Source organism: Homo sapiens, chromosome 9 (assembly GCF_000001405.40).
Source record: "Homo sapiens chromosome 9, GRCh38.p14 Primary Assembly".
NCBI classification, from domain to species: domain Eukaryota; kingdom Metazoa; phylum Chordata; class Mammalia; order Primates; family Hominidae; genus Homo; species Homo sapiens.
Window position 1 is genome coordinate 13,190,839 of NC_000009.12, and position 18,258 is coordinate 13,209,096.

Consider the following 18,258-nt stretch of genomic DNA (forward strand, 5'->3'; position numbering starts at 1 on the left):
GAATATTTAAAATTTGAATTACATTGAGCAATATTCATCAACTGGGTCCCAGAGTTACCCATCTCATAGAATTTTCTGAGGACTAAATGAAGTAACATATATAAAGCATCAGACAGAAATAGGGATTCAAAATACTAGGTTAATATAGGTTAATTCAACTTTGTTCATCTGTATGAACATAACTTAAAGAAAGATGTGTTTATGAGGATGAAATTCTAGTTTGTAGAATATCTTTGCTTCTAATCAATTATTGCACAGCCTAGGACCACAGATACAAATGACACCCATTTGCTTTATTGTAATAATCCCATTATACACATAAAAACATGTATGGATACATATAGGGTACTAGACTTTGAGTGCTATAAAATTTGGAATTATGTTTCTTGTTCTACCCTATTCTAATCACCCATATGAATACTAAACTATGCATTTTATTCTTCAAAATTTTCCAAATTATTCCATTGTACTGATTCATTCAATATACTATAAATCAAATCCTAACATCATCTCTCAATATACCTTAAATGAGATTTGACTGGACCACATATTATGCAAAGTCCTAATCCTAACTTTAGCTATGTATTGTGTATCCTCAGAAAAGCTGATTAGCTCCATTTCTTGACATCATGATACGAATGAATGAAAAACAATAAACAAACAGGAAAATGTGAGTTCCTGAATGTCACAGAGAATTATCTGACATGTATCATTATGGGCCAAATTTATTGTATTTTAAAAGGATAGTATGTAAACAAGTAAGACCTATCCACACAGAAATGCTGTGTCCATCCATATTTTAGCCATTCACTAAGTGGTAACTGTGTGCCAGGCAGAGTTGGGTAGGTTATTTAAAAATATTTTTTACCACATATGTACTATGTACACACTATATACTTCAGTTTTCTCTTCTGCAAATGGAGACGAATATGAGCATCTACTTCATAGAAATGCTGCAAGTAAATTAAACAAGTATATAGTATGCATTAACATCTAACATGATTACATAACCTTATTTAACCTTCAGGGCAACTTTTTGAGACAAGCATCATGACTTACATTTTACCAAGGAGAAAACTGAGGTTCAGAAAGATGAAGTGATTTGCCCAATTTCCCACAGCTAGTGTCAAGTCTGATTCAAACCCAGATTTGTCTGACTTTAAATTCTATCCTCCAAGCCATGGGCGATGTGAGTAAATCAAATACCAAATTGAAAAATGCTTAAAAAATTTTAAGCCATTTAGCCTTTCCATTATATATGTAGGTTAGCCTCATGTATGCAAATCTGATACCTTTTCTGTTAGCTCAATATCACATAAGTCCAGGCTATCCAATTCTGATTGGGTGGTGGGTGGCACAGTTCGACGACAGCACACCATTGTCACTTCTATAGGCAGTTCTTTTAAGATATTCACCACATCTTGGTGATTTTCCCCAAGTAAAGTTATGCCATTTACCTGTGAAAAAAGATACATTGTCCAACAAACAACACTTCATAATATGAACATTCTTTTGAACACAATTTTTTTATTAAATATAAATTTTACTATAGTCATTACCACAGTTTACTGTGCTCAGAACTATAGTGAGACCTGTGGAAATACTATCTAAATTTATGTGCAAGTTTAGAGTATTGTTGGAATTGGAGCTTCTAAAGCACTCAAAGAAAAACCACTAGCTTTCATCTATGTTTGATCTGCCAGTGTAGTGGTCTGGAAAAAAGAGACAATAAAAATATTTCCAAAGAATGAAAAGGACAAGGAGAAGAATAGTATAAAACTTTGACATTTTGTATAATTATAAAGTAAAAAAAAAATTGGACAATGACATATATTGTATGCTAGTGTACTTTAAAAAGTGAGGGAAAATAATATATTCAAACTTTCTTGTTTATGCATTAAAAATACTGGCAGATTACAAAGAAGCAAATATATTAGTAGTTACCTAATGAAGGGTGATGAGAACTGGATGAATTGGGACAGGAAGGAGACCCTTTTCCATTCTTTATCTTTGTATTCTCTGTGATTTTAAACATCTGAATGCGTTACTTATTCTAAAAATTAAATAAATGTTAAAAAAAATTTCAAAGACTGTTTTTATAGTTTTCTGAACCTAAATAAAAAATGGCATGGAATTAGTTCTAAAGCTAAATGTACACACAGATACACAGATACAAAATTTCTGCTTTGGGTTGTTTTTATCTGTAGATTTCTCTCAAGTCCCCTTTGGAGGGGAAATTTAAAATGAGAATTTATTCACCACATTAAGCCTCCTGCAAGCTTTTCCATGTCTTATTTAAGGAGGAGAAGGAACAGCATAGCTCCTTACTTCCAATAGCTCGTCTCCACTGAAGAGCTTCCCGCTGTGTCCAACAGGACCCTCTGGTAGAACAGATCGGATAAAATGATGTCCCACTGTCGCTTCCAGGCTTATCCCCAATCCACTGTTCTCACTAAACTTGCTCACATGGGCCACCTGAAAAGAAAAAAAAAAAGATCACCACAATTTTTATATTCTTTTTATTTTTACTCATGCACACATTTTATGTTTTATGTTTACCCAAAAGTGGTCATCTTTCTCACAAAGCTTCAAAAACCATATTGTAAAACTGCAAAGCTTTGGGGCTTTTCCTTTGAAAGAGTACTGGTGTCTTTTGATTTCATGAACTTACAAACTGAAAGGAAGCAGTGAGCCGCAAGCTCCCATTACATAGGTCTCATCTGTTTCTCATAAATAGGTACAATTTCTCTCTTGTTTCCCAAGTAGAAAAACGAGGTTCAGAAAAGGTACCATGACCAGAGCTGCACAGCTAGAAAAGGGTTTGAAGCTAAACAAAGAACGCAGAACCACATTCCTGGGTTTATGCTGTAACCAGAGACAACGGTCTTTAAAAATGATCAAACCTTAAAACCAAAGAATGAACTTCCAATTTTCTACTGTTACATTAAATAATGAAGAATATTAGAAAGCTGTTCATTTTCACACAGAATCCAATAAATAAAATATTAAAATCAGAATGTATGCCAAAGACGATCTACTTTATCCCTTTTATTTTATAGTTAAGGCAACTGAGGGATAAAAGGACTAAAAAAAAGTTTGATTAAAAAGAGCTCTTTCAAATTTTAATGATAACGTGCAGAAGTCAGTTTCAGAAGCGATATCACCTGACTTTGAAATCTAATACTGGATGAAATCCTTCTCACCCCTGAAAACCCAATTTAGGCATCACTTCCCCTGAGAATGTCCCATCCAATAATGTCCATTAGTCAGTCCTGTTACACTACTTCCCTTATGATTTCATTTATGCTGTATCGCTACATAGCAAACAATTTGAAGTCAGATCTATGTCTTATTACCTTTATCTTGCCAAGGCCCATAAATATCTTAGTCCTTTTTCATTTATTGTATACTTCCGCACTTGACAGATTACTAGGAATGCCACCAAGAAAGCATGAGCACAAAGGGCAGTTAAAAGTTCAGTCTTTGGATAAAGAAAATGTATATACACCATGGAATACTACACAGCCATAAAAAAGAATTAGTTCATGTCCTTTGCAGGGACATGGATGAAGCTAGAAGCCATCACTCTCAGCAAACTAACACAGGAACAGAAAACCAAACACCATATGTTCTCACTCATAAGTGGGAGTTGAACAATGAGAATACAAGGACACAGGGAGGGAAACATCACACACTAGGGCCTGTAGGGTGGTGGGGGCAAGGGGAGGGAGAGCATTAGGATAAATACCTAATGCATGCAGGCCTTAAAACCTAGATGATGGGTTGACAGGTGCAGCAAACCACCATGGCACATGTATACCTATGTAACAAACCTGCACATTCTGCACATGTATCCTAGAACTTAAAAGTAAAATTTAAAAAAAAAAGTTCAGTCTGAGCTCTGATGCCTACAACAAAATGGCTAGTCAAAGGGTCTCCTTCATTATTCAATTACCACCCGAAGGACTGCAGTCTCAGTTATGCACACCTGCCACATTAACCCTATCCCTCCATGAAAATAATTTCTGAAGTTTCATGTTAACCACTGTTAAGATGGACCTTAATCTATTTTTCCTTAGGTCAATTTAAAATGGTAGTAACAGCTATACTTACTCAATTCATATTTGACTGTTAATCATTTTGAATGTTTAAAAAAAAAAAGATTATAGCAAGGTGCAGTGGTGCATGCCTGTAATCCCAGCAATTTGGGAGGCTGAGGCAGGCAGACTGCTGGAGTCCAGAAGTCCAAGACCAGCCTGGGCAACATGGCAAAACCCAGTCTCTACAAAAAATACAAAAATCAGTTGGGCGTGGTGCTGCATGCCTGTAGTCCAAGCTACTCGGAAGGCTGAGGCAGGAGAAAAGTTTGAGCCCTGGTGGTCAAGGCTGCAGTGAGCCATGACTGCACCACTGCACTCCAGCCTGGGTGACAGAGCGAGACCTTGTCTCAAAAAAACAAACAAACAAACAAAAAGATGATTATGGTCATGAGGACTAAATGAAATACTAAGAACACTACTGCTTGGCACAAAGTATGCTATAAACGCTAGTTATTAATATATGTCATCTGTTGTATCTTCTCCCTTCTAGTCCAGAGGTATATAAATATTACAAGAAATATGAAAAATTCTACCTAACATACTATTTTATTTTTTCTTTTGAAATCCGTGAAATTTGCTGGTATGGTATGTACCTTAAGATTGATAATTTATAACAATTTTATTAGACCCCCTTTTGGGATGGTAGATCACAATGGCTATGCTAGATATACAGGCTACTAATAAACATAAAACATTCACCACAGCATAAGTGGTATGAAAAAAAGTATGCAGAATTAACCTCTTCAGGAAGGTAAATACATAGGAGTGGAAAAGAAAGAGTAGAAAAGAGTCCTTTTACAATTCTGTTCATAAGTCATGATAAATTTTGTTTTATTTTTAAATAAACTCATTCTATTTTGATTCTTTCTATAAATCATAGGTTTAAAAATCAGAAAAATCCTTCCTTGTGTCTATATTATTCATACTATTACTGGAAATATTAAAATACTGATAAAATGCAAGTTTCAAAACTTCCATCCCATTTATTTCAGTTCGTTACTATATACCTTTCTCCAACCTAAATTTTTTTTATTACCTGGATCACCATATTTAGGTTGTCTAAAAAAGGCCTGTACATTTGATTCTTCTCTGGAACTCTAATGATTGCCTCTATTATTCCCTCGAACTGCCTGCTCAAATACAGTTACAAGTTAGAAAATTACAGAAGGTCAGCTAACCTACCACTATTTCATAGTTAATTCCCATAATCCTTTGCCATTTTGTCAGCAGAGCAGCTTCTTGTTTTTGTGCATCTTCTATTTCTTCTATCTCAGCTGACAGTAATGGATACCCTGAAACAGTCAAGGCAATTAAGTTAGCAGCAAACTACAGAAATCTCCACATCTTAACATCCTGTACCAAGGATTCTCTGATCAGAACCCGCTGTATCACGTCAGACTCTTCGCCCAATATATGGGCTATTCTCATCTCCATAATTATTTAAATACTTCAATTAAGAACCCTATAATTTGTATGTTTGACACTACTCACTTTTAACAGATGTATTTTAAATCTTTACCTCCATTAAAGTGCCCATGTATTATCTAATTTTTATTTAAACGAGTAAGGACTCTGAGCAGTTCCAGAATTCACTTCATAGTCCTCTGGTAATGCTACAGTAAAAAGGGATGTCGTCTTCAATGTTCTCTGTTTTATTTTCATTTAGTTCATCAGGGGAAAAAAGGACTATGCTATTATTTCACAAAATCAAACAAATGAAATCAACAAATAATATATGTAACTCCATATATGAGAAAATATAAAGAAATAATAATAAACTAAGGCTACACATTAAAATAAAAGCCTATTAATTGGTATCTCAATAATTTACAAAAAGAGAAATTTTTAAAAGGACAGAAAAACACTAAACAAATTTTGTAAACAATACTGAATTTAAAATGCTTACCTAAAACAAGAAACTGGTTGAGAAATTTGAAGTCATAGTCAAAGATTTCCATATTTCATAACAGTTCTTACTCGTAAGATTTGTCTTTTTAAAATCTCTATTAGGCACTATTCTCTAAATTAAATTTCAATATCCTTTTTAGCATTCAAATTTCAAATTTAAAAAATGTTAAAAAATTCAGATTTCTTATTAGTTGCCTCCTCTTTTAGTGGGAATATCCAGGAGCTTTCATTCCAGGCATATTTTGTAGGTCTGTTATGCTTTAAGCTAATAAGATGATTCTGTTTTCTCCTTAAAAGACTGTAAACAATAAACTATATATATATATATATTTTTAGTTTGAAGACTAGCCTCCCCAAATAAGTGTTACTTCCTCAAAATTAAATTCAGTCCAGAGGTTAACAGATATAAAAGCACAGCTAGATAGAAGAAATATGTTCCAGTGTTTTTGTTTGTTTATTTGTTTGTTTTTAAATTAGATGGGGGGTCTTGCTCTGTTGCTCAGGCTGGTCTCAAACTTCTGGTCTCAGTAACACTCCCGAGTAGCTGGGATTACACCAATAAGCCACCATGCTGAGCAATTCTAACACTATCGGGTGACTATGATTAACTATATTCTCTTTTTAAAATATTTTATTGATACATAATTGTACATATTTATAGGGTATATGTGATATTTTGATACATGTATATAATGTGTAATGATCAAATACAGATAATTAGGATATCCATTCCCTTAAACATTTATTATATTTTTTGTGTGTGTTGGGAACATTCCAAATCTTCTTCCTATTTTGACATACACAATAAGTTATTATTGTCACCCTACTGTGCTGTTGAACACTAGAACTTATTCCTTCTAGTTAATTGTATTTTTGTACCCAGTAACCAATACCTCTTCATCCCACCCCTCCTCAAACTCTTCCAAGCCTCTGGTCATTCTACTCTCTATTTCCAGAAATCAACTTTTTAAGCGCCCACTTATAAGTGAGATCATGCGGTATGTGTCTTTCTGTGCTTGGTTTATTTCACTTAACACAATGTCCTCCAGTTTCATCCATGTTGTTACAAAAGACAAAACTTCATTCTTTTTGTGGCTGAATGATATTCCATTGTGTATATACACCACACTTTCTTCATCCATTCTCCTGTTGATCGGCACTTAGGTTGCTTCCATATCTTAGCCATAGTGAACAGAACAGCAATGAACATAGGGGTACGGATATCTCTTTGCTATACTGATTTCCTTTCTTTTGGATATATACCCAAGAGTAGGACTGCTGGATCATATGGTAGTTTAACTGTTCGTTTTTTGAGGAACCTCCATAATGCTCTCCCTAGTGGCTGTACTAATTTACATTACCATCAACAGCATTATGAGGGTTCCCCTTTCTCCACATCCTTGTCAGCATTCATTATTGCTTGTCTTTTGGATAAAAGCCATTTTAATAAGGGTGAGATGATATCTCATTGTAGTTTTGACTTGCATTTCTCTGATGATCAGTGACGAACATTTTTTCATATACCTATTGGCCATTTGTATGTCTTCCTTTGAGGAATGTCTATTCAGATCTTTTCTGCATTTTTAATCAGATTATTTGATTTTTTTTCTATTGAGTTTTTTGAGCTCTTTATATATTCTGGTTATTAATCAGATGGGTAGCTTGAACATATTTTCTCTCATTCTTTGGGTTGTCTATTTATATTGTTGTTACCTTTGCTGTGCAGGAAAGCTTTTTAGCTTGATGTGATCCCATTTGTCCATTTTGGCTTTGGTTGCCCGTGCTTTTGTGAAATTACATAAAAAATCTTTGCCCAGACAAATCCAATGTCCTGAAGCATTTTCCTAACGTTTCCTTCAGTTCTTATATTTAGGTCTTTAATCTCTCTCTCTGTGTGTGTGTGTGTGTGTGTGTGTGTGTGTGTGTGTGTGTGTGTGTTTTAGGACAGGCCTTTGTAACATATTTTGAAGTCTGTTGGTGTGATGCCTCTAGCTTTGTTCTTTTTGCTCTAGACTGCTTTGGCTATTTGGAGTCATTTGTGGGTACATGTGAATTTTAGGGTTGTTTTCTCTATTTGTGTGAAGAATGTCATTGGTATATTCATAGGTATGGCATTGAATATATAGATATCTTTTGGTAGTACGGATATTGTAACAATATTAATTCTTCTAGTCCATGATCATTCTCTACTTCTGTGAAGAATGCCATTGGTATATTCATAGGTATGGCAATGAATATATAGATATCTTTTGGTAGTATTGATATTTTAACAATATTAATTCTTCTAGTCCATGATCATAGAATATCTCTCCATATTTTTGTGTCCTTTTCAATTTCTCTCATCAGTGTTCTGTAGGTTTCACTGCAGAAATCTTTTACTTCTTTGTTTACATTTATTCCTAGGTATTTTATTTTTCTTGTAGCTGTTGTAAATGGGATCACTTTCTTGATTTCTTTTTTGGATTATTTGCTGTGGTGTATGCTACTTATTTTTTATGTTGAGTATGTATCCTGCAACTTTACTAAATTCATGTATCAGTTCTAACCATTTTTGGTGAACTCCTTAGGTTTCTAAATATAGGATCATTTTATCTGCAAATAAGGACAATTTGACTTATCTCTTTCCAATCTGGATGCCCGTTATTTCCTTCTCTTGCTTAACCGCTCTGGCAAGGACTTGCAGTACTTATGTTGAAAAAAAGGTGGTAAAAGTAAGCATCGTTGTCTTGTTCCAGATCTTAGAGAAAAGTCTTTGGACTTTTCTCTGTTCGGTATATTAGCTGTGGATTTTTCATATATGGCCTTGATTATTCTGAGGCATGTTCTTTCTATTGCTAGCTTGTTGAAAGATTTTATCATGAAAGGATGTTGAATTTTATTGAATGCTTCTTCAGCATCTATTTGATGTATCCCATTTACTGATTGGCATATGTTGAAACATCCTCGCATCCTTGGGATGAATCAAACTTGATTATGATTAATGATCTTATTAATGTGTTGTTGAATCTGGTTTGCTAGTATTTTGTTGAGGATTTTTGCAACTACGTTCATGAAGGATTTGTAGTTTTCTTTTTGTTGTGTGTCCTTCTCTGGTTTTAGAATCAGGGCAAGGCTGGCCCCAAATAATGGGTTTGTGAGTATTCCCTCCTCTTCAATTTTTTGGAATAGTTTAGTAGAACTGGATTAGTTATTTAAATGTTTGGTAGAATTCTGCAGTGAAGTTTAAGTCCTGGGATTTTCTTTAATTAGAGACTTTTTATTACCAACTCAATCTTGTTACTGGTCCGTTCAAGTTTTCTATTTCTTCATGGTTTAATCTTATAATCTCGGTAGACTGTAAGTGTCCAGGAATTTACCCATTTCTTCTGGGTTTTCTAATTTACTAGTGGGCAGTTGTTCATAATAGTCTCTAACAATCCTATGTATTTCAATAGTATCAATTATAGTGTCTCCTATTTGTCTCTGATTTTATCTATTTTAGGTCTTTTTGGCTTACTATGGCGAAAGACTTGAGGATTTCATTTACCTTTACAAAACCAACTTTCTGTTTTCTTACTCTTTTGTATTTTCGTCTCAATTTCATTTATTTCTGCTACAATTATTCTTTCTTTCTGCTCCTTCGGGTTTGGTTTGTTCTTGCTCTTCTAAGGTTCATAATTAGTTTGTTTATTTGAAGTCTGTCTTCTTTTTTGATGTAGGTATTTGTTGTTATAAACTTCCCTCTCAGAACTGCTTTTGCTGTAGGCCATAGGTTTGGTATGCTGTGTTCCCATTTTCATTTGTTTCAAGAAATTTTTAAATTTCCTTTTTAATTTATTGACTCATTCACTGTTCAGAAGCATAGTATTAAATTTCAATGAATTTGTAGAGTTTTCAATGTTTCCTCTGTTATTGATATCTAGTTTTATTCCATTATGGTCAGAAAAGATACTTGATATGATTTTGATATTTTAAGATTTATAAAGACTTGTTTTGTGACCTAATATATGGTCTAGCCTGGAGTATGTTCCATATGTTGTTGAAAAAAATGTGTATTCTGCAGCTGTTGGACGGAACGTTCTGTAAATGTCTATTGGGTCAATTTGGTCTACAATGAAGTCTCACTGATGTTTTACTGTTGATTTTCTGTCTGGACAATCTGTCTACTGCTGAAAGTAGGGTGCAGAAGTCCCCTGCAATTATCATATTATAGTAAATCTCTCCCTTCAGGTTTATTTTTTTTAATATATTTGGGTGCTCTGATGTTGGGTGTATATATATTTACAATTGTTATAACTGCTTGCTGTATTGACCTACTGATGCTTTTCTCATTAAATAATGACCTTGTCTTTTTATTTTTTTACTGTTCTTCACTTAGCCTATTTTATCTGACATAAGTATAGCCACTCCTGCTCTTCATTTTTGTTCCCATTTGCATGAAATTTCTCCATTACTTCGCTAGAAAGCAATATAGCAATATTGGGGCTTCTTTGAATGTGGTGTTTCTTTTCTCTTGATGCTTTCAGTATTTTTTTTTTTATTTTGCTAGTCTGATTATGATGTGCCTTGGGGATTTCCTCTTTGTATTGAATATAGTTGGTTACCTCTAAGCCTGTAGCTGGATGGTGTTGTCTTTCTCCAGATTTGAGAAATTTTCAGCTACTATTTCCTTAAATGTGCTTTCTAGGCCTTTTTCTCTCTGGTCTCCTTCAGGAGTCCCTATTACACAGAGGTTAGTTCACTTGATGGTATCCCATAATTCTCATAGGTCTCCTTCACTCTTTTAAATTCTTTTTTCTTTCTGCTCCTCTGATAGGGTTATTTCATATGGTCTATCTCCAAGCTCACTAAGTTTCTCTGTTTGATCAAATTTGCTTCAATCAAAACTTTCTAATGAGATTTTGGCTTACTGTATTATTTATTTCTAAGGTTTGTATCTTTTATTTATAAAAGATAAAAATAAAAGATACAAAGATAAAAATAAAAGATACAGTGAAACAAATTTCTCATTGTGATCCTGGATTATTTTTTAAATTTCATTTTGTTTTCTATCCATATTTTCCTGTGATTCCCTGAACCTCTTTAACAGGATTATTCTGAATTTTCTGTACAACATTTCATAGATCTTCAATTCTTCTGCGTCCATTGCTGGAGGTTTGTTGGTTTCTTTTGGTAGTATCCTATTTCTCCATGTTTTCACAATCCTTGTATTTTTACATTGATGATGGTTCATTTGAGGAGTTGGCTACCTCTTCCAGTTTTTGCAAGTGCTCTTTGGTGGTGTTAGAGATTTACTACTTAGTATCAGAACTTAAATGCTGGGCTGTTGTTTTTTTCCCATTCTGGGGAGGATTTACATGAGTACTGGAACTAAAACACTTCCCTGGAACTAACTCCTTGACTTGCTATTATTTCCTCTAGGGTAGGCTTACAGTGAGCACTGAAAATTAAACACTGCCCTAGAATTTTATTGTTGTCCTGCTATGGGTCTCCAGCCTGGGGAAGATTTAAGCTGGCACCAAAACTTAATCCCAACCTTTCAGTTGTTTCTAGGCCAGGAGATGGCTCCATGAGAGCACCAGGATTTTGTAGAAAATCCAACTAAGGACAGGATCTTTCCACAGATTGTACCCCAGAAGCACCATGGAACCAGCCAGTATCTTCAACATGGCGTACCCACTTATCAGAGTGCAGAATACCTGCCAAGATACATGCCAGTCACTGTGATCAGTGCCTCTGTCTTTGCTCCCAATTCACCCCAAGTGCTTTAGCCCTCCTGGAACTCCCAGTGGTTCATAGGAATGGGACCTAGGTGGATTTCCAGTGAAAGATTACCAGACCAGTGGAGAGAATGAATGTCTACCTCCAATTTCCTCCTCTCATCTTGGGAGCTGTGGGTCTAAAGAAATTCTCTTTGAATGGCATTATGCCAGTTTGAGGAAGGGTGCAGCTCAGCCTAAAATTACCATTTATCTTATCAGTCATGGCTCCTCTCAATTCTGTAGGCCCAGGAAGTTTCTCTGCTTCTCTCTCTAGTTCTGGTGAACTCAGGGTGGTATTTTTGTCTTTGATAGTTTCCAGTTGTATGTATATAGGAAGAAGGATGTGGGAGGCACTTCTAATCTGCCATCTTGTTGATGTCACTCTTCAATTTACTGCATATTTTCAAATAGCCAGAGGAGCAAGATGTTGTGCTGAATGTTCCCAACACAAAGAAAAAATAAATCTATGAGGTGATGGATATGCTAATTACTCTGATCTGATCATTATACATTGTATACATGTATGGAAATATCAGACTGTACCCCAAACATATGTACAATTATTATAGGTCAATTAAAAATAATAAAAGCAAATAAACAAATTCAGTACAGAGAGAAATAAGTATGCAAGGATGAACACAGACTACAGGGAAGCTTTGAACTGATTCTGCAAGAGAAACAGGAGGGTCAGTTCAGAGTCCTATCTCTTTCCACACTTCCTTTTTCTAAGTCTGCTGTGTTTACACAGCTAGACAGTGATTTAAGCGGGTGAGATTATGAATGGAGAAAGTGGGGAATCGTGCTGCTGATAAAAACAGTCTGCAATTCATATTCAACCAACCTTTAGCAGAACAACTCTCCATTCTCACCTTCTCACAACTGCCCCAAGACTGGATTTCAGGCATATATTTAAAAATCATAAAGTCTAAACCTCTGATCTTGCTGGAAAGTCAAATGACTTGTCCAGGCTTGCACGATGTGTAAAATATCTGTGGAAGAGGCAATAATATCTTACCCCTTGTCTGAGGACTAGTACTAGGGCAGATGCATTAAAGTCACTTAGAAGTTTGTGCTTTATTTTGTTTAAAAAAGATTCTGGGACTCCTGATTCTAGGTCTATAGTCACCCCCATGTATCCTGCCACACACACACACACACACACACACACACACACACACACACACACAGAGAGAGAAAGAGAGAGAGAGAGGGATTTCTCATTAGCTACCTTCACCAAAGCAAAATAGATGGTTCTGCGCCTTGGAGACGACTCCCACACCCATGCCCACTTAATATCACAAGTATCATGCTCTAAACAATTTTACCCTTTCCTACAATTCCTGATATTCACTTTAGCCTAAATAATTTCTTTACTTATTAGTGTAAAAATGGCAGAATGTTATTAGTACAAGTGAACTCTATAGATCTAACTTCTGGAATATCTCTGCAAACATAAATATCCCTTTAAAATTGTAAAGCTCATTCAAAATTTTCAGCAGAAAATCCAATAATGAAGGAACAGATATGTTAAAAAACAACAAAGCTTCGGTATAAGTATATTCACATGAAGGGAGGGAGATCAGTCTTGTATTCTGTTCAGTGAGTTTAAGTTACCAAGTACCTAAAGCAATCTGAAAGGTAAAGGAAGCACACAGCACAACAGAATAAAAAGAGGGCAGCAACATTCTGGCAAAACTATGTATTAAAATAATGCTACTGGCCAGGTGTGGTGGCTCGCATCTGTAATCCCAGCACTTTGGAAGGCCAAGGTGGGCAGATCATTTGAGGTCAGGAGTTTGAGATCAGCCTGGCCAACATGGCGAAATCTGTCTCTAATACGAATAATAATAATAATGCTACTCTAAATTTTTAAAAATAGCTTAATGGGTCCTAAGTTTATAGTGAGAGAATTCCCAGAAGGTATGATAATTTATCTGCAATTACCTTCCAAACCACTTCCCAATATTAAATCTTGGAACCCCTGAAAAATTAAGAAGTGATAAAAAGCCTCCCAAAATTGAATAGTCTCATTCCCAAGAGCTTATGTGTTAATGATTCTCCTGTGTTTATTTTTAAATACTTTATAATTTTATTACTGTTAGTTTATGTTGGCTGTATAGAAACAAAGAGATTAAATTAGAACCACACATACAAACAGTTAATTCCTAAGGAGTTCTGGTCAAATAAAAATATGGAAGTAAGAATAGATTGACTCAGCAAGAAAGTGTAAGTGAACGATAAACAAAAGTATAATTTAGCTATAAATGGAATGTTTTAATCCATAAGACCACTTAGTCACATTTATAAACAGGGATTTACAAACTTCACTTTTTGAAATTTTTTTTAGTAACTTACAATATATCCATAGAGGCTTAATCACATTTGTAAAAATCATTTCTAAAAAAGAAAAATAATGAAGTACACAATAAGCTGGCGCTAGGTGTTTACCTTCTTCTTCAGTTGGTAATATGTTGGTGTTTCTCGTCGAAGATAAAAAATCTTCATCTTTTTCATAATTTTCTTAAAGATAAAAATATTTTAGTAATTTTATCTTTAGTATAATCAAGTACTTGAATTTTTCTAAACCCAGTATATTTATTTGAACTCCTACATGAGAATCTGTTTTTCAGAGATAAACTTCTCAATAACTATATGTACTTAAAGGCAAGTTCTGTTAGTGGAAAAGAATACATTTCTCCTGTGATTTGCCCCTCTGTCTCTTAATAGTGCAATATGTATAAATGGCATAAATATCAGAATGGTCAACAATTTTAGAAATGAAACAGCACTTTTCAGCGAAAAGCCTGATTTCTACCAATAAACCCCTGAGCTACACAGGGGTTTCAGTAATTTGCAGACATATTCATGTACAAACAGCTTATGAATGACATTTCTAAATGTGGAATTAAAGTCGATTCCTTCAAGGAAAGGCTGGGCATTTAGAATTTTTATGAAGGTCACATAAATAATCCAGGCAGAAGAGCATCCCCCTAAAGTGAGAACATTGCAATGACATCCAGAAGTAAGGCAGAAACAGAAAGGTAAATGACTGCCTGTTTCCAACTGAGAAATGGTGACAATGAATAGGATAGAAAGAAATCTGCTCTATTCAGAAGCCTACTCCATAGTTTATAAACACATTGCTGGTTCCAGTCAATCCTGACTTTATTACACTTCTTTACTCGCCTTGGTTTATAATGAATAGTTGAGGGTAAAAAGCATTCTGAATAATTAAGAACCATTCTGAAATAGTAAGTTACTTTGGAATTTAAAAAAAATTGGAGACAATATAAAGGTCTAACTAAAAACCAGATTAACATAGGATTACCTTTGATTATGCTGGCATTAACAGGAGACAAATCTGCATCTTTTGTGACGTCTTCCCTTGACATGAGCTCGGCTTCCTGCTTCATTCCTCTCCTCATTAGTGTCAGGAGCACAGTTTGTCCTGTATGTCGCAATACCTCTACTGCTTGCTGATTAGTAAAACCCTGAAGGTTTGTGCCATCTACCTGTGATTAAAAAAAAAAAAAAGCATGTTACATGTTAAATAAATGGATATTTGTATTACCAATTCACAAAATGTGTATGTATAGTTGTTAGTGTGAAAAGAATGGAGAATAAGTATTCACCTTATCAGGGAATTGACAGTAAGACCCTAATATCTCTTTGGAAACCAGTATTAACAGGGATGCACTAGAATCATTTGAGAGGCTTCTGTTTATTTTAATATAGATTCTGGGGTACCATATCCAGAAAATGAGTCACTAGTTCTAGGGTAGGACACAGGCTTCTATGCCTTTTTTTTCCCTTTTTGTTGAGACAGGGTCTCACTCTATTGCCCAGCCTGGAGTGCAGTGGTGCAATCATGGCTTCCTTCAATCTTAACCTCCTAGGCTCAAGCGATCCTCTCATCGTATCTTCCCAAGTAGCTGGGACCACATGCACACACCACCACACGTGGCTATTTTTTTTTTTTTTCTTTCTCACTCTGTCACCAGGCTGGAATGCAGTGGTGCGATCTCGGCTCATTGCAACCTCCACCTCCCAGGTGCAAGTGATTCTTCTGCCTCAGCCTCCCGAATAGCTGGGACTACAGGTGCGTGCCACCATGCCCAGCTAATTTTTGTATTTTTAGTAAAGACGGGGTTTGACCATGTTGGCCAGGATGGTCTCGATCTCTTGACCTCGTGATCTGCCCGCCTCGGCCTCCCAAAGTGCTGAGATTACAGGCGTGAGCCACTGCACCCGGCCTACTTTTTAAAAAAATTTGTAGAGATGGGGTCTCCCTATGTTGCTAAGGCTAGTCTTGAACTCCAGGGCTCAAGGGATCCTCCCACCTCAGCCTTCCAAAATGGTGAGTTTACAGATACAGGCCACTGTGCCCTACTTCTACTCCTTTCTAAATATGCTTTTATATTCCTCAGGTGATCTCAATGCACAGTTAAGTTTGGAACCAGAACTATGCAGGATTAAAAGGTATAGAAGACAGTGATAAATGTGCTCACTGAGTGCACTGATGTATCACAAGGTCATATTTATATGGCCTTTCAAAAAAGAAAGAAAAAAAGTGTCCTGTCTATTTGTCTTTTCAGAAAAATACATTTGATTTTCCCCTTTTCACAAATGACAAAACATTCAAAAATGTCCCGGTGATCTTTCCAAAATATAGATATGATCATATCTCCCCAACCCTCTCTTCTACAGAAAACTCCTTAGGACAATGCTCCAAATTCTCAACGTGGCTTAGAATGGCCTGTGCCAACTGCTCCCACCTCCCACCAGCCCCAACCTCATCTCTCATGATGCTGTCCATTACTCTCTGCCCCTCAGCCACAGAGGGCTCACTTCCATTCCTCTGACTTGCAGTTCTCTCTTCAGCCATGGAGTCTCCGCAAGTCCTGTTACCTCAGCCTGGACTCTCTGGATAGCCCACTCTAGACCATGCTCTTTCTCAATAGCTTACTTAGAAAATACATATAATTGCTTTATATTTCAGTTCAATAGTTGTTTTCATAATAAACTACCTTGATGTCTTTGACTGCCGTCAAAGCCCCCTTTTACCCATTCTTCCTCATAGCATTTTTCAGAATTTTAATTTTACATTTTCTGCTATTATGCAGTTTATGACTATATACTCCAAGGACAGGCTCTGTATCATTTTTCCTTATAGTAGTGTCATCAAAACATGGTGCTGTCCATACTATAGATATTAAAATACAGAGCCATTGGCTCATAGGTCAAAAACTTATTTGTAAAGCAAATTATATTCTGAGGTAGATAAATATAAATTTTAACAACATGTTGTTTAATTCATAAAATCACAGTAAAAACAATTTGAAAAAGCAGAGCAATAAATTTAATGCTGAAATTCAAAGTCATTAATATTCCTTAGAATTGCAAAATGACTATAAAATGACTGTACGTGTAATGCTTTTCCAAGCATAGTGGGGCCATATTAGGCACTCAAATGTTTACTAAGTTAGAAAAGATCTGGATTTTATAATCTAAATCTTGTAATTCAGATGTTTACTAACTTAGTAAATATGCGAAAATTATAAGATCTAGATCAAGGCTGGGCGCAGTGGCTAATGCCTAGTAATCCCAGCACTTTGGGAGGCTGAGGCAGAAGGACTGCTTGAGCCCAACAGTTTGAGGCCAGCCTGGGCAACATGCTGAAACCCTGTCTCTATAAAAAACAGAAAAATTACCCAGGCGTATTGGCACATGATTGTAATCCCATCTACTCAGGAGGCTGAGTTGAGAGGATCACTTAAGCCCAGAAGGTTCAAAAGGCTGCAGTGAGCCATGATCATGCCAGTGCATTCCAGCCTGGGCATCAGAGTGAGACCCTGTCTTACATAAATAAATATTAAAAAAAAAAAAAGACCTAGATCAGTTGTCTCCAAGATGGAGTACCCTTACTGCAAAGGTTTCTGAAAGAATATAATAAAACCTCTAAATAAACATTTTAAAAACTCATTTGCTTTGTAAATATGTGTATATGTAGGTGTGTATATATGTAATTATGTATATGTACACATATGTAAACAGCATATAATGTCTAAGTTTATATAGGATATATATATATAATATATATAACAACAATATATATGAATATATAGTGAGGAAGAAAGAGGGAAAATGAGTAGTTATTTTTACTAGAGGGAATATTCAATCAAAAATCCAGAAACCTCTGATCTAGATGAAAATCTCATACTCTGTCAGTTCCTTAAACCTTCTATGATACTTCTGAGCTGGATGGTGACTTGAACATAAGTATCTGGCTCTGTTCTTTCTCCCTATCTCCACCCTGCTGATTCCCTGTTAGAAAAACTAACAAAATAGAACAGAGAAAACACTGCAACAAAACTGGAAACCAAAGAAGCACCAAGGTCCTTAGACCAGCAACTTGGAGGAATTTCTACTAGAAATGGTCTGCGCATGGCCAGATCAAAGGCAGGCCAACTGAATCTCTGTATGTGTGGGAATAGCCTGTCTGGTCTGTA

At 35.5% G+C, this 18,258-nt stretch overlaps 1 protein-coding gene across 57 annotated transcripts in view; it reads right to left on the reverse strand.

The window, feature by feature from the left end:
• Positions 1 to 18,258, reverse strand: part of MPDZ (multiple PDZ domain crumbs cell polarity complex component) — a 173,986-nt gene that overhangs the window by 85,132 nt on the left and 70,596 nt on the right. For all 57 annotated transcript variants that reach the window (NM_001375425.1, NM_001375420.1, NM_001375419.1 and 54 more), the window contains 5 exons: positions 15,078 to 15,261; positions 14,198 to 14,269; positions 5,283 to 5,392; positions 2,329 to 2,475; positions 1,293 to 1,457 (listed from right to left, as the gene is read on the reverse strand). In NM_001375425.1, the coding sequence (NP_001362354.1) occupies positions 1,293 to 1,457; positions 2,329 to 2,475; positions 5,283 to 5,392; positions 14,198 to 14,269; positions 15,078 to 15,261 (678 nt within the window). The remainder of the gene's footprint in view (positions 1 to 1,292; positions 1,458 to 2,328; positions 2,476 to 5,282; positions 5,393 to 14,197; positions 14,270 to 15,077; positions 15,262 to 18,258) is intronic.